Source organism: Homo sapiens, chromosome 6 (assembly GCF_000001405.40).
Source record: "Homo sapiens chromosome 6, GRCh38.p14 Primary Assembly".
Lineage (NCBI taxonomy): Eukaryota > Metazoa > Chordata > Mammalia > Primates > Hominidae > Homo > Homo sapiens.
In genome coordinates this window covers 6342348-6359958 of record NC_000006.12, presented here as the reverse complement: position 1 = coordinate 6359958, position 17611 = coordinate 6342348, and the positions used below count along the sequence as shown (strand labels likewise).

General features: G+C 39.4%; 1 long non-coding RNA gene and 1 pseudogene across 1 annotated transcript in view; both read left to right on the top strand.

Annotated features, from left to right (window-relative positions):
• LY86-AS1 (LY86 antisense RNA 1) overlaps positions 1-13494 on the top strand; it is a 276362-nt gene extending 262868 nt beyond the window's left edge. The window contains exons 7-8 of the long non-coding RNA NR_026970.1: positions 11209-11348; positions 12539-13494. This is a non-coding gene — a long non-coding RNA (LY86 antisense RNA 1). The remainder of the gene's footprint in view (positions 1-11208; positions 11349-12538) is intronic.
• On the top strand, positions 12592-12872 carry SNAPC5P1 (small nuclear RNA activating complex polypeptide 5 pseudogene 1; annotated as a pseudogene).
• Positions 13495-17611: the final 4117 nt, after the last annotated feature.

Below are 17611 nucleotides of genomic sequence, written 5' to 3'. Positions count from 1 at the left end.
ATGAAGAAATGTACAGAACTTTTTTACTAAACATACAAGGTTTAATGTATATAAAGAAAAAACCTTTTATTTTTCCAGAAGATTCTTGAAGTCTGGCAATTCTTGGAGATCAAAAGTCTTGCATCACTTATGGAGACACTTCAGGCATGAGAGAGAGACCTATCTGTATCCCCTTAGAACACAGCATTATCAACTCCAGCAGGAGTAGAGTGTATTGTAGAAAGAATATGGGTCATGTAGACATTCTAGTTCATCATTCGTCATCATGTGCCCTGGTTTACCAGACAGTTCACTTCCTTTTCTGTGAAGTGCATGCAATTATACCTGACCTGGATGTAGGATTACTGTGGTCATTAAATGAGGTACACTATGTAAAATGTCTATATATAGTAGATGCTCAGTAAACACTCCTGTTCTCAATCCCGCAAGTTATCTCATGAAAAAATTGTACCTATAGCTACTCAACTGTGACAGGAACATTTAAAATGTAAAATCACCAAGTCAGTCAATATAAGGGTTCAGCTCTTTCTTGAAATACTCAGTTGCTGAGGTTTCTCACAAGTAAATCACGATACACTTGATTTTCTAGAATGAGGTGGAAAGTATATTCTCTTCAAGATAGTTCATAGCCTCTGTACATTTTAAATATCTAATGTTAATGCTGAAAATGATGCTTACTAGGGAAAGCAAGTGCTGCATGACAAATATTAGGGTCCATAAGCCATGTGAGTAAACTGAGAAGCTGGTCATAGTCCAAGAAGTGGATCAGGTATATGACTTGGTGTATGACTGATGCCTTATACGTCTACTTTGGCAGGGAAGGCCTCAAATACTTTTAGACAATAGTCTTCTTGGGGAGAAAAGTATGGCACCTGCAATTAGTCATGTTGATAGTACACACTCTTGATCTCACATGATGAAAAGGGCACTTCAGCTCTGTGGTCTTTCTCCCTCCAAAACCATAACCCCCATCTACTCATGAGGACAACTTTAGACAAATCCCGACTGAGGGGCCTTCTACACAATATCTGACCAGTGTTTCTCAAAACTGTCAGGGTCATCAAAACTAGGAAAGTCTAAGAAACTGTCCCCAGAGGAGCCTGAGGAGATACAGTGACTAAATGTAATGTGGTAGCCTGGATGGGGTTCTGGAACAGAAAAAGGACATTAGGCAAAACCTAAGGAAATCTGAATAAAGTATGACTTCAGTTAATACTAATGTATTACTATTGGTTTGTTAATTATAACAAAAGTACTGGACTAATGTAAGATGTTAATAATAGGGAAACTGGGTGTGTGGGCATATGGGAACTCTCTGTTCTGCCTTCACAATATTCCTATAAATCTAAAACTCTTCTGAAATGAAAAGTTTATTTTAAAAAAAATAGCTTCTTGCTTCACCGTCCATTCCACTCTCATTTAGTACATCAAAAAAGCAAAAAACAAAACTTCTGGAAAAGTATTTTCCCCAATACTTCTGGAAAAATAGTATGCTTTTAAGGAGGTTAAAGTCTCAATGTCACAAATCAGCATTTAATTTTCTCCAAATGTGTCTCAGATACTGGTCTCTTCTCGTCTGGGTTGCCCACTGTTTTGGGGGCCTATGCCAATCTGGGGCGCTAGTGGATGCTCGATAAATAATTAAGAATTGGTAGAGTGATGTGACAATTAGGTCTTTGTTAAGTAAATTCTGAATTCTGGCCAAACCAGTCCATGTCATGAAGTGGCTCTATTCTACAAGAAGCCAGACTGCAGACCAGCTGTGGGGCAACATCCAAGGTTGGCTTGCATGCGTGTGCACAACCACTCTCCTCACATTCAGTTCTCACGCGGCAACACATCAGTTCTGGACAGAGGGTACAAGATTAAAAAATGAGAGTTGATCTTTGCACAGTGTCCATGGCAGGCCCCTTCTCCTGGCCTGTAAATTGTGGTTGGGTACTACATGGTCTTAAATACAACCAGTTCAGGCAGAAATCACTGAAGCAACATTTAAAAAACAAACAAACAAAAACACATCATTTCTTAGTCAGCTAGGGTGTTAGGAGTTTCCCAGTATTTTATTTAAACTAATGAACCAAAGCATTTATCAGACTGAGTAATTGACTAATGCAAATTTACATGTTCAAATGGATGCATATTCCAAGTCAATTTGGCATGTTCTCCATCTATACGCTCCAGAGTGCCGTACTATTTGCAGAGCACGTGGAATATAGAGAAATCTCAAGTTCATTTCTCATGTGTGTGTGAGCATGCTGATGTGTGCATGTGTTTGTGTAATGTTGGTTACTAATAAACTTCAGCCAGAGGAAGGAAAGGAGTGAAATATCTTATATTTAGCAGCCTTTCCAATTGATTTCAAATGAAATTGTTGCTTAGTGTTTTCTTTATATCAATAATGAAAAATGGTGGGGGTGACAAATGAGTCTTGACTTTCCAGGTCGCAAGGATGGTAACAGAAGGCACTCAGCAGGTCTGCCCACTCCTGTTGTTAATTAAAGTATTTTCACATTCTCCAGGGTGTAATGCACTCTGGGCATTGAGCCCCAGAGAGACTTGTGCAGTTTAATAATCACACATTCGAATAAATGCAGTAGGGGTCCACCAGGGAACAGATCGCTTCTCCACTCTCATTAATGTCTGCAACACTCTGCAAATATCTGAAATGCACTGGCTCCATTTCTTACGAATAATAAATAATATTCACGCTCCTAGTTGCTCAGTGGCTCAAGGCAAGGCAGACACCCACCTGCTCAGCTGAGACCAACGTGGGGGCAGGGAGTGACATTTGCAGCTCAGAGCTTGCTTTATTGCATTCACCAAGTGGTTCTTGCCAAAGCAGATTTCCTTGGATTTGTTACACCCTTTGTCTGGATTGCACTGTAATTCTCATTTGTTGGCACTGTTAATGCATTTGTCTGCGTATGAAATATGAAGACTTTTACAAAGCTGATCTTGAACTGTCAGAGGGTATATCTGCACACCCCCAAATCATCTTAAAGACCTCGAACCTCAGAAAAACGACACATTTTAAATATTCGACATCCTTCCAAACTACTGCTAAACTAAATTGAATGTAAGCCTCCTGAATACTTCAAATTTTAGTTGAAAGAAAGTTGGGGCAATTTTACTTCAGGGAAGTATATAAGTCCAAAAACTCAGGGTAGGAACTAGCTGATGGAAATAACGCTAGGATTTGACCCTTGCGAGTGTTTGTAGAAGATCGGGACTCCTGTTTCAGTTGTAATAATGCAAACACAACACAGCTTAATGAGAATAACAGGTTATATTTTATTGTGTATTGTATTTCACAAAGGGCTATATATGTATATAAACCACATGTAATCATCACAACAGCTTATATGAAAGATAAGGTTATTTTTCAAAAAAAAAAAAAACAAAATTACAGTTCAGTGAGGTTAAAGGATTAGCCCAGAACACACAATACATGGCAGAGTTTCTCCTTAAACCCAGGTCTTCTGACTCCAAGGATGTTCACTGTTAAAACAGTGCTTTATATTGGATAGCAATTGATATATTTCAGCATTTTGCCTCAGGGAATATTGACCCTCCATCTTTGTTTTGTAAAGAAATCTGTATTATATCTGTGGCACAGAAAGACTTAACATTCTTTGATGTGTATTTGGTTGGCTGCAAAATAGCCTGGCTGCTCTAAGCTAAAAAGCAAGTTAGCAGGATATCGAAATCTGCTGTCATTCATTTAGCAGTAGCTTGAGTTGAATTAATTAGCAGTAGCTGAGGTGGTCATAGTGATATGACATTCCTTAATACATGAAAGACCATCAGCTCAGGATCAAGCAGATAGATACAGAAGAGGAGGAGAAAGAGGTTCCTGCTCCTTTTCCTCCCTTTCTTCCTCCTAAAACAGGTATAGTTGGGAAATGTGATCCTGACAATTTGTGTAATATTTTGTACTCTATAAAGCACTTTTGTGGTTGGTGGTATTATTTAAGTCTCTCAAAAGCCATCGTCAGTAGGTAGATATCATCACAATTTATGGGCAAAGCTAAACTACTTGAAAAAGTCTTCCTTCCTTTCTCCCTTCCCTACGAGTCTACTGACCTGTCTGATGGCAAATGCCTAGTGTTCAAGGCATGCTTTGAAATCAGCACTTCTGTTCCAGTCTCTCCAATTTTTCACTAACACTTCCTTCTTCTTTGTTAACACTACCTTCTCACTCATGGCTGTGCAGAGACTCCCTAAAATATACTCCTATCTTGGTTGCACGAAAACATTAGTTTATAATACTCATCAGGGAAACACAGATGCAAAGAATATTGTATTCATCTATCAGTAGAGCAAAGTGGCCTTCATGTACCTGTGCTGCCCCTGCCTTCTTGCTAGGGTTGCCAGATAAAATACCAGATGCCCAGTTAAATGTGAATGGTTCTTTTAGTACAAATATATTCCATGGCTTATGTGGGACATACATATACCAGACAATTATTTATTGCTTATCTGAAATGTAAAGCATTGGGGTCTGTAGTACAATGTTGAGCACTCTAGGGTCTGAAATTTGACTTTAACTTCCTGTATTTCTATTTGCTAACGTGGGCAGCCCTATGGGGGTCTGGGCTCTGCTTACCTCTGGGCTACTCTGGATACCAGTGTCATTTCTCTTTACATCTTTCTGGGAGATCATGGGCATCGTCAGGACAATGGCTCTTTTTGAGATATGCCAATAGACACTGTGGAGGAAAGAATTTATAAACTGTAAAAGCTTTACCAGCACTGTGCACCACCTCATTTCCACGGTGGCATTTTTGCTCCATGAGGCTCATTCAGAGAAGGAGGGTGATGAGGGCACCAGCTCTAAGCCCATCTTCAGTATCAAAATCTCATTCTCACTCATCTCAAAGTGCCCTTAAGATACTCCACAAGCAAATGCTATTGCTATGAGAAAATAGTCAAACCCTTGAATCCTTGAATATCTTTGACTACAATCTGCATTCACATAGTGTTAAGTAAGAAGCAGTGTCAATGGAGAAGTTAATATATGAGTAAAACTTCCTAAAAAAGAACAAAATAAATAAAAGCAGGTAAAAATAGCCCAAAACATCAGTGATGGTCAGTAATAACTCGTTGATAATGGGCTTAATGAGGTGACATCTAGAATTTTATAACAGGTAAATAATAAGACATTTATATGCATAGGATAGACAGACACACACACACACACACACACACACACACGCACAAATTTGTTCTTTGTATTATTTGGTAGCATGGTTTTTAAAAAAACATTTAAAAAATTTAGCGTGGTTTTTAAAAAAACATTTAAAAATGGATTTAGATTATTTCTATTTTCATCTCTAGTAAATAAATGCATCGCTTAAATAATATCTTGTGAAAGAAGATTTCCTATGACTTTTCACACTGTTTAATATGAAATTACACCACAATTCACATTTCTTTGCAGCGTTAACAAATTCGTTCTCCACAACTCTCTTCATCCAAAGTCTGAGACCTTGCAAAGCTGAATGTGAATGGTCAGAGGTGTAGATGCACATCCCTCAAATCATCTTAGAGAGTTTGTGGCCAGAGAAAAGCCCAGGGAAAATTTTTATATACTACCAAACTGCCCAACTAAGCCTGACTAAATTCCCCCTCTCAGGTGAGAGTGAGCTGGACAGGGTGCTGGAATGGAACATGACTACAAGATCAGGAGCCAGAGGGGCCGTTTGAACCCTGCTTCATCACGTGCTAATTATGCACCCTGAAGCATGTTACTCAACCTGCCCAGGTGTGGTTTCCTCTTCTGTAAAGTGGGAGTAGGGGTGGGGGGAAGAAGCTGTAGCATTGGGTTGTTCTGAAGGTTAAATTAAATGAGTTATCATTTATAAAGGGCTTGGGACAGTGTACCTAGAAATTGGTATATAAGTGTTTGTTAATTAAATAAAAGACACATGCATACATGTGCATATATGCACATACCTATATCTGTGTAATATATATTAAAATATATTATAAATAATATTTATTATTATATTATAAATACATGTGGTACACCTAAAATATATTGAACATACTATACATCACATCTTACATTACGTCTGACATTTTCATCGTAGTGTATATTACATGTATACATATACATATACATATATATATATTTTTTCTTTTAATGAAGCCCAGAACCCAGTGTGACAAGGGAATCCTACATTCCTCAGGCATTTTGGCTCAATGAGCACCTTCAAGGAAGTCCTTCTCAGCACCTGGAGGACAGAGTGAGAGATAAGGAAAAATCCCCTGAGGGGCAAAGCGTGCCTGGAGGTCAAGTCTGAATGCCTCACACTTTGGAAGGACGTGGCGTTCGCACCAACAGGGCACTGTGCCTCCCTCACAGGCTGGTGCACCCCGATAGGTCTCAGGACGCCCCACTCAGCATGAACACAGACTGCGTGCTGGCACTCTTCCTCCTTTCCCAGCAAATGAGCAGGTTCCACAGCTTCTGCCAAGGGATCTGCTCACATCAGGGGCTGCAGGCAACCCCTTCGATGCTGAAAATTCTGGAGACTCCCACAGTCTCCAGCCTGCAGGTCCTTCTGTCACTGACAGAAAGAGACTCCACCCACTGCTCAGACACCTGTGCAGAAATGAATTCACGGGGTCACTTATGTGAGAAAGAAGTAGTCATGGACTGCCGCTGCTGCCTGGGGTTACTGTACATAGTGTGTGTGTGTGTGTGTGTGTGTGTGTGTGTGTGTGTGTGTGTGTGAGAGAGAGAGAGAGAGACAGATAATGGTATACTCAGTGAAGGCAATATAAATGCACAGAAACAGAAGAGAAGCAATGATGAGAGGAAGCTCCAGTAACCCAGATGAACCAAATTACTAATATGGACTGTATCCACTTCTTTACCTTACAGGTGTGCAGGTGGTGTGCGGTGTGTGTGGTGTGGTTGTGTTTGGTGGATATGTATGTGGTATGCATGGTGTGACGTGTGGTGTGTATGTGTGGTGTGTGTGGTATGGTGGTATGCGTGGTGTGATGTATACGTGTGGTTTGTATGTGTAGTGTGTGTTGTGTGCATGGTATGATGTGTATGTGTGGTGTGTATGTGTAGTGTGTATGGTTTGCATGCGTTTCCTTTGCAGGTTATTTCTTTGATTTTGTTTTTTGAGACAAGGTCTCTCTCTGTCACCCAGGCTGGAGCGCAGTGCTGCGATCTTGGCTCACTGCAACCTCTGCCTCCTGGGTTCAAGCGATTCTCCCACCTCAGCCTCCCGAGTAGCTGGGACTACAGGCACCTACCACCTTGCCTGGCTAATTTTTTTTTTTTCTTGGTAGAGACAGGGTTTCGCTACATTGGCCAGGCTGTTCTTGAACTCCTGACCTCAAGTAATCCACCCACCTCAGCCTCCCAAAGTACTGGGATTAGAGGTGTGAGCCACCGCGCCCGGCCTCTGCAGGTTATTTCTGTGTGTTTCTCGTCCGTATGCATCTGGCCTTTGCCTAGCTGAGGTTTTAGTTTGTAGAGGCATCTCCCACATTCCTCTTAAACATCCAGTGGAATCAGGAGGATATTGCTGCATTTCCCCATCAGTTTTGGGGAGCCCCCCTCTGCACGGATAAGTAGGCTTTAGAGTATTCATCAGCATGTCTGCCGTTTTCCTAATACCTGCTCAGCACAATGGCCAAGGGGTTAGTTTAAAAAGCATTCAGAGCCTGGTGTGGTGGCTCAAGCCTGTAATCCCAGTGACTCAGAGGCTAAAGCAGGAAGATTTCTTGAGGCCAGGAGTTAGAGGCCATCCTGGGTAATAAAGTGAGACCCCCATCTCCCCAAAAAAATAAAAAACTTAGGGCAGGTGTGTGCCAGTAGTCCCAGCTCCCCAGCTACTTGGGAGGCTGAGGAGGGAGGATTGCTTGAGCCCAGGTGATGGAGGCTGCAGTGAGCCATGACCATGTCACTGCACTCCAGCCTGGGTGACAAACAAGCATCCGAATCCCCCTGCACACACACACACAAATAAATAAAAGTATTCGATATTCTCTCAGAGCAAACAAGATCCACAGTCACAGTTTTGCTGGGAGATAGATGAGCAATTGCAATACTCTGACTCTCCTGCAAAACCTGGGCACTGGCCAAATATTTTCCCACCCGCTGAAAGAACCGGTAGCAGGAAGTTATCTTAAAGGTACTTGATGGCTTTCTTTGCAAGTTGAAGAAAACCTCCTGTTATCAATGATGGCAGACTGAGGTTAAAACGGTTTCCTCTCAAATGCTTGGATAACTTAAACAGAGCTGATGAGGACAGCTTTCAATGTACCCAGTTCACCAAGACTGAGCAATTCCAATATTTAAATTACTCAGGTTAGAAGTGTGCTCTCAGCTGGTAGACTAAAAGTTACAGACAATTCTGACTAATCCGTACATTTAATCAGATATAGATGGATTCTCAGAGGGCAAACTCCATGCCTGCTTTATAGAATTCCCATGCCTCTCTCTGTTCTCCCCTGCCTCCCCTGGAGTTAAGCATGAGCTATCTTAAGTTGTACTCCTCCTCATCTTTCCCATTTGTTGTTGTTGTTTGTTTGTTTGTTGTTGTTTTTTTTTTTTTTTTTGGTTTTTTTGAGACGGAGTCTCACACTGCCCTCTGGGTTGGAGTGCAGTGGCGCGATCTTGGCTCACTGCAACCTCCACCTCCCGGGTTCAAGCAATTCTCCTGCCTCAGCCTCCCTTGTAGCTGGGATTACAGGCGCCTGCCACCATGCCCAGCTAACTTTTTTGTATTTTTAGTAGAGACGGGGTTTCACTATGTTGGCCAGGCTGGTCTCGAACGCCTGACCTCGTGATCCACCCGCCTTGGCCTCCCAAAGTGCTGGGATTACTGACGCGAGCCATTGCGCCCAGCCACCTTCCCCTTTTTTCACAGTGGACAGCTCCTGCCCCAATTTTATAACGGGACTGTGCACCCATTTCTCTTTTGAGTGCAGCTTCAGAGATTTTCTTTGTAGGATTTTTACTTTCTTGTCAGGGACTTGATCAGGCCAAAAATACATGCCAACAGCATTTGGGAAAATCCCCTGGGTCACAGCCACCTCTACACCCATTTTCTTAGGACAGATGGTATTTTGTGACAGCTGCCAGATTTACCAAGACCTAAGTTTAGAAAAAAATTCAAGTAAAGGCAGAAAACTTACTAGAGAGAGGGATAATGTCACAGGCTTCAGTTCTCTTTTAATTTCACTGCAGATCGCTTTGATTTGCTGCCTGTTTGTCCCTCCCATGCCCCGTCTATTTCTATATGTATGCTCTTGGGGAAGGGTCTTTGAAAAAATTCCATCGATGGATTTTTACTGGGGGTAATTTTCTTCATCATGTTTACTGTACATTTCCACTTTAGCTACTTGATTTGCTGTTCTTAAGATCAATCCTAGCAGTTTTTTTACTTCTGGAAGTGAATGATCACTTCATCTTAATTTTGGCTTTTTTTTTTCAAATGAAAAGTATTCTGAAATATCCTCCAACTATCACAATCATTTCTCATCCTGACCCTTTATTCTTCCAAGAGAATCTCTAATCATAACCCTCTAATCTCAAATCATAACCATGTGACATTGCCTCCTTAAAGCCGCATAGGATTAGCCCCAGATGGACAACTGTTCTGAAGCACTTCTAGATGTGTTGTGGTTGCTGAAATCCTTTTACGAAAGTATGGGTGGAATCAATTCAATAGAAACAGATATAATGAGCACCGGTAGTTGATAGTGAAGGCAGGACCTGCCATGCCATTTAGACTTGAAAACTGGGAACACTATTTGGAGTCATATGTCAGCAAAGCAGGTGGGGAGAAGAAACTGGTGGGTGCGAGATAAAGGAAAGTAGAGGTGCAGGAGATGGTCTGGCCCCTGAGATAACACGTGAGTGAGGGCAGTCAGTCCTTGATGTTTTCATTCTAGTCCAAATGAGGCTGGGGTATGTATAATCTCATTCTCATCCATGAGATTGCCCTTGATAGCCTTAAAATAGGTCTTCCTCTCCAGCGACTTTGTCTTTGTACAACTGCATTTCTCAAGAACACATACTTCATGTCTAAGACCACTGGTTTCATTCTAGTATCGATTCTCTCCTTTATCACAGGTAGTAGAACTCTGATTTTTAACCAGCTCACTAGGCTTGGTATATAGACTGATTTTCCTATTTTTCCCTTGTAGCTAGGAGTGATCAGGGGACTGAAATGGTAAAACAAGGATTTTTTTTTCCAAAATATATAACCATAGTACAAACAGTAAACTCAGGGAATGAATGTTGCTACAATTCTGTTATCTAATCCATAGATCTTATTTGGATTTTGCCAGTCGTCCCAGTAATATGCTTTATGACCAGAGAAAATCCTGAAAGATATATTGTCTGTCTTTTTAGTCCCCTTAAGTCTGAAACAGTTGTTTCTCAGTCTTTCCTTGATTTTTATAACTTGATATTTTTGGAGGATAGGCTAGATATTTTGTAGAATGTCCTTCCATTTGGGTTTGTTTCATGTTTCCTCACAGTGAGAATCAGGTTGTGGGGCAGCAATAGCACAAAAGAGGTGTTGCGTTCTCCCCAGTTCATTATATTTGGAGACAGAGGATTTGATTTGTCCCATTACTGGACTTGACCACTTGGTGAAGGAGGTGTCTGCCAGGTTTCTTCACTATATAGTTACTATTTTTCCATTTTTATTGTTTTAGAGCTACCGTTATTAGGTGACTGTCTGTACAGCTGATCCTTGTTGGATGACCAACAGATAATAAGGACAGGATCATGCAAAAATACTTTGCTCTATCTTTTCCATCATTTTGATGAACTGGCTGAGCGATCATTTCAAGACCTTGACAACTTTATTAAATAGTTCTTTTCTAACTCTGTGTTGACAGTAATAAAACAAGCAAGGGGCCAAAAGACCTTTGCTAAAAAGCTCTTTCTTTATACAAAATCAACTCGAAGCTAATGGTATGTTCAGTGAAGGCAATATAAATGCATAGAAACAGAAGAGAAGCAATGATGAGAGGAAGCTCCAGTAACCCAGATGAACCAAATTACAAGTATGGACTGTATTTACTTCTTTACCTGACGGTGTCTTTTAGCCATCAATGAGGTTCTTGATGGGGGTTTCCCTGAAGTACAAGTGGTTGTGGAAATACTTGAGGACTAATCTCATGCCAAGTAATGAATTATTATATTTTAAACTCTGTCTCTTTCAGGTTTTAACCATTTAAGGCCATGAGGTGTGAGGTCTTTTGAGAGTGAAAGAACTCATATTAATCCAGCTCCTGACTCCTAAAAAAACAGTAACTCTTGTAATTAAAATGGGCAGAGTCCATCAAGAAGCAGTGTCCAGAAGGTAATTTTGTTTTTAAAAGTCTTTATCTAAGTCCGAATTGAGATAGAAGCAAATGAGAATTATCACCCTATTTCTAATTCAGCAGATGTAACCTTTGTGGTAAAGCTTGAGGTGAAATGATGAAATCCATGCAGCGGGTCTGATTAACAGACTTCCTCTAGCATTGAGGTGCACAGCCTTGCACAGTCTGCAGCATTTTTAGCCTATTCGATCGTTTGAAGATGATGAAAGATTAAAAGTTCAGTAAAAATGCCCAATTCACAAATTTCATAAACCTAATGGAAGCAAGTGCAAAGAATGCCTCAGAAACAACAGGGTGATGGAATCCACGTGTCACAATTAGTGGACAAGAACTATGATTGCAAAGTCCACTTTGTGTTAGAATAAGGTGGATTTGGAGCCATCATCAAAATGATGAGATACATCCTCAAATGGTGAGATTGTGGTGGGTGTATCCACCACAATAACACACTTATTTCCCTGGAATGATCTTGCAAGATCAATATGGAATCTTAAACAATATCTTTCAAAAGGTATGCTAAGTTGGCCAATGTGTACTTCATTTTTTTACAGTCTTTTCAACATCAGAGCCATTTAAAAAAATTATTACATTCATTTCTTACAATCGATTACTGGAAGCAAAATATGCTGAACAGTAAATGAGCAAGGATAACTATAATAATTTTAAAAGACAAGAACAATGAGAGAGAACTGCTCTGATATAGACAGATAGATATACATATATCTATATATATTCATCCTACAGTAATTGAACATAGATGGTGGCATGGGAATATGCCAACAGATCAGTGGAAAAGAATATTGGACAGAGCCACAGCCATGTATCTGTATGGAAATTTGGTGTATGAGAAAATTGGCATTTCAAATCAGCAGAGAAAAAAGAAATATTCAACAAACTATGTTGGGATACTTGGCAATGCATCTGAGGGAAAATATTAAATTTTATCTTTATTTTATTGTAATGTAAATTTCAGATGCAAAATCAACAAGCTAAACAAAATTTATAAAGTATTAGAATAAAACATAAGGGGAATTTTTGTAATTGAAGAAAGTCTTTTAGAAAATACAAGGGATTTGCAGATTTTGAGCTCATAAAGTGATTGTTTTCTCTATTAAAAAGACACTTAAAAATTGAATGAACAAATGTAATTATATAAAAATATTTGCAGCACTGGGCCATGTGGCGAGCAGCAGTGTCACCAGGAAACATGCCGAGCTGGGTCAGGAACTGCGCAAGGAGGAGGAGACACTGCTCCTGTTGAAGGCAGCCCTCGCATGACCTGCTGAATCACATCAAGGTTGAAGCATTGGCCCTCCAATCAATGATTAGTTCTGGGAGAGGGGATGAGGTGCTGTCTTCTCCAACTTCTCCAACTGTGCCTGAACAGTCACACGTCATGTCAGTGCATATAGAGAATGAAGCATCAGTCAACCAAACTACGCTGGAGTGGAGCATAGAGTCCTGTGACAGAAGAGGAGGAGGAAGAGAAAGAAGAATCAGATCCCTAAAGGAGGGAAAAAGCCAGGATTCATTATACAAATTAAATTTCTAAGTCTCAGGCTCTTTCTCCCCAAGGAAATCATCTTGCCATGAGCCCTAGGGCCTGCTTGAATGGAGAGCAAGAACTATAGGAGGATGTGTAGCTGCAAAAATTTCTCATCAATAACTCAATCTTCAGAACGTTATGACATACAGAAAATCAAAGATGCTGTGTCTTAGCATTGAGCAATATGGGTGGTGCTATGTCTGTAGTCTGGTCAAATTCAGTAACTGTGTTCAAAACAAAATTTCCTCTGGAATACTATTGAGAAAATCTGGCATTTGCAAAAAGGGCAGAGTTTAAATATGAGCCAGTCTTTCCAATCAACAATACCTCTTTTAAGAAAACCAACTAACAGCTGTTTGCATGCCGTTGAATCCTTGTGAGCAGTTAGGCCACAGTCTAGGACAGAAAGATGACACGGGGAAGGACTGAGGGCCATCTGAGAACAAAAGTTGTTGCTACTTCTCAGAGGCATTGAGACACACTGCATGCTGTAGACTGCTTTGTGTAACTGTTGTCACATCTTGCTTGAGATGTCATTGGCAGAATGTTCTTAAAAATAAATTATAGATAAATAGCCATCATGGAGTTTGCTGGTTTCTAGATAGCAAAAGAGAAAAGAAGCAGTTCCTGCCTGGCCCGGTGGCTCATGCCTGTAATCCCAGCACTTTGGGAGGCTGAGGTGAGTAGATCACTTGAGGTCAGGAGCTCGAGACCAACCTGGCCAACATGGTGAAACCCTGTCTCTATTAAAAATACAAAAATTAGCTGGGCATGGTGGCATGCGCCTGTAATCCCAGCTACTCAGGAGGCTGAGGCAGGATAATCACTTGAACTCAGGAGGTGGAGGTTGCAGTGAGCCGAGATTTTGCCAATGCACTCCAGCTGGGGCAACAGAGCGAGACTCTGTCTCAAAAAAAAAAAAAAAAAAAAAAAAAAAGAAAAAGAAAAAGAAAAAAGAAAAAAAAAAGAAGCAGTTCTTCCTCTAATGAAAAGATACAACAAGATAGTTTGAAATTCATTTCTGGCCCTTAGAGAAGAAGTGTGCCATGCTTGGAAGACTGGATTTTTATAACAGAGATGGCAGCTACAGAATAAGAGTTGTTGATACTTGGGATCTGAAGTAGAGATCATTTCTGCATACTGTCCCTTTTCCACTCACTATACAGTGAAATGAGTAGTTGCTGAATATTATAAAATTAATTTTCCCTGCCAAAGCAACAGTGAAAGCCAAACAAAATACAAATAACCTTCTCAAGCAGAATTTATGTAAAAGTTCCCAGAGAAACATGGATACCCTTTTTTGTTAATCAGTATTTCATTAAAGTTATGTTGAGTTACTCTTAGAGAAAACAGACAAAAAAAATTGCAGCATATGTAACAGTTAAAAGAATTAATAACTGCAATATGTAAAGAGTAACACTAGTTAATTAGTAAAAACAAATAACCAATAATACATGGACAAAGAATAAGAAATTCACAGAAGAAATACAGTTATTAGTGAGAAGCAATGGCTCACGCCTGTAATCCCAGCACTTTGGGAGGCCGAGGTGGGCAGATCACCTGAGGTCAGGAGTTCGAGACCAGTCTGGCCAACATGGTGAAACCCTGTCTCTACTGGCAAATACAAAAATTAGCCAGGTGTGGTGGCGGACACCTGTAATCCCAGCTACTCAGGAAGCTGAGGCAGGAGAACCACTTGAACCTGGGAGGTAGAGGTTGCAGTGAGCCGAGATCAGGCCATTGCACTCCAGCTTGGGCGGGAAGAGTGAAACTCCATCTCACAAAAAAAAAAAAAAAAAAAGAAAGAAAAGAAATGCAGTTATCTAATTAAACACATTAACATTTGCTTAGCTTCTTCACTAGTGCTAAGAGGAATTAAAGCAATGAGATATGATTTTTACAAAAATGGGTATGATTTAAAATCAGTTTTGTCTGATAGTATGTTCTGATGAAACTGTGGGGAAACCAGCATTCTCATACATGCTTGTTGGTGCATAAACCAACATGACTATCTTCATGGGCATTTTGGCAATATCTGTTAAAGTGAGAAATATGCATTCTCTATGTCCTTGCACTTTCTCTTTTCCGTATCTATCTCAGAAAAAAAAAACAGCCTTATGAAGTAAATTTAGGGACACAGTGGAGCAGCTAGCACACAGGTAGATGCAGAACCAAACCTCTGCTTTGGGCCTTAGTGTCCAAGCCTGGAAACAAAAGGGGTTTGATTATGTGATCTGTAAAGTTTTCTTTAGTTCTAAATATTACACATCTCTTACATGAAATTCAGTAATGAGTGGATGAAAACATTTTAAGTAATCTTCTACTATTAACAAGTTCAGTGGTTTTATTTTTATCATTTTCTAGAGTAGTGATTCTTAGAGGTTAAATTCCTTTCTGTGGAGGTTCTGCATTCTTCCTTACATTGATGAATAGAAGCTTCTCTAGAAAGAAGCAAAACAATTTCCAGCAAAATTAAGTATGGGTCAGCTACAATTATTGAAGACTGTTTACTAACCAAAAAAGGAGCTTATAAACTGACTTGTGAGCAGCTGTTTTCCAATGGAACATTATTGGTTATTGAAACCCTGCAACAGGAGAAAACCTGGTCCTAACATCTAGTTATGTGTATCTATTTTTGAGACCAACTGTAAGAATTGATTTGAGCATCTTGCTTTGGGTTCTTAAAATATGTTATCCCAGACCTTTAAGTACTGTGAATAATAAAAACTTCAGAGTCCTATCTCAAGTTGATCCTTCTCTTGCAAAATTACTTTGTCCTGAAATCTCCCAGCAGAGCACCAGTGCAACTGTCTGGAGCTCAAGCTGGAGTTGGCCATGTCTGAGCTGTTCTGCAGCCAACTCAGAATGTAGATTTCTTTTTCTGTCTGCTGGATCTATTCCCTATAGTCCTTCACCCTGTGTTACATAGACGAATTTTGTTAAAAGCTACTCTTTTGTTTTCTATGATTTGTGTAATAATAAATAATGTAGTTTCATTAATCAAAGACTTTTCTTGGAGATCAAATTTGGTTCAGCCAAGAAGTGTAAGTCATTTAAGTACAATGTCATATGAAATCCCCTAAATGATGATCTGGTTTATAGAGTTTAAATACCTACCCGAAAACTGATAAAATTATAGACGCATATGCTTTCATAATCTAACAAATTGATTAACTCCCTTAGTTTTGGAAAACAGAAGAGCTATGAGAGAATTTTATTGTTATTATTATTATTATTATTTGAAGGAGAAGTCTCTACAAACTAAAGAGCTCTGTAAACATCTACTCAGGTCCCTCTGTTTGATTTGCTTTATGGTGGAATGATATTTTTTCAGGTAATAAGTTCAGAAGAAGTGGCTGATTAATATCAGATTTTTCATGTGCTTCAAAGAAGCCTTTTAAAATGAAGGGTTTAGGAATTTCACTTCTTGTAATGGGAATAAACTTAGTTAAGTGAGCTAACTGCTAAAATAAGCAAACATGCAAATCAACACTATTTGGGGGAACATAACAAAATTCATGGTGTCTACAAATATCATTCATGATGTCCAGGATGCAATGCAGGATTACCATACATACAAAGAAACAGTCAAACATGACCCATGCTCTAGAGAAAAGAAATTAATATTGACCAACTCTGTGATGACTTGGATATTGAAGTTACTAGAGAAGTATTTTAAAGCAGTTATTATAACCATGCTCAATAAGATAAAGACTGCTTTAGTCATAATGAAAGAATACATAGGAAATCTCATATAGGGACATATGGAAAATCTTAATAGGGAAAATAAAGGATCAAAAAGAAATTAATGGAAATTCTAGGACAAAAATAAATCAATAAAATAAAATTTCAAATAATAAATTCACTGGTGGGCTTCACAGCAGATTAGAGGTAACATAAGAAAAAGATAAACAGAAATAGATTAATAGAAATTATTCAGTCTGAAGAACAGACACTAAAAGATTGGGGGAAACATGAACAGGCTTTAGTGGAACAATATCCACAGTCATAACATATATTTAATTAAGATCCCAACATGAAAGAGAGAATGGGGCAGAAAAAATATTTGAAGAACTAGAGGCTGCAAATTTTCCAAATTTGGCACAAAGCAAAAAGTGTTTATGTTTCATACTGGAGTCCATATTCAGTTGCTTTCTAAGATAAGTAAAAACTGGCCAGTCTTTGTAAAAAGAAAGGATGTTATTCTGATTGCCTGATGGTATGTTATTTGGATTGCAAAACAACAGGCAAAATATGAGTAGTCTTTCCAAATGCATGATTTGGTGAAATAAAGAATATCTAAATTAGATATTAGCAAACAATTAGAAAAACGTAAAGCCAAAAAGAAAACAAATAAAACCAAAGCCTTTACAATGGCAACAATAACAGGAAACTAATACTGTTGAGCCATAACGATCTGTAAGATACGTCACAATTTACTAGTTTAAATTTCAAATTAACAAAGAACCACATTACAGGGGAATGAAGTCAACCGGGAGAGTTTGATTCGTTAGTGAACTGTAGTTGTATTCAGCTGTTCTCATGCTGCTGTGAAGAAACGCCCAACACTAGTTAATTTATAAAGAAAAGAGGTTTAATTGACTCACAGTTCTGCATGGTTAGGGAGGGCTCAGGAAACTTAAAATCATGGTGGAAGGCACCTCTTCAAGGGGTGACAGGAGAGAGAATGAGAGA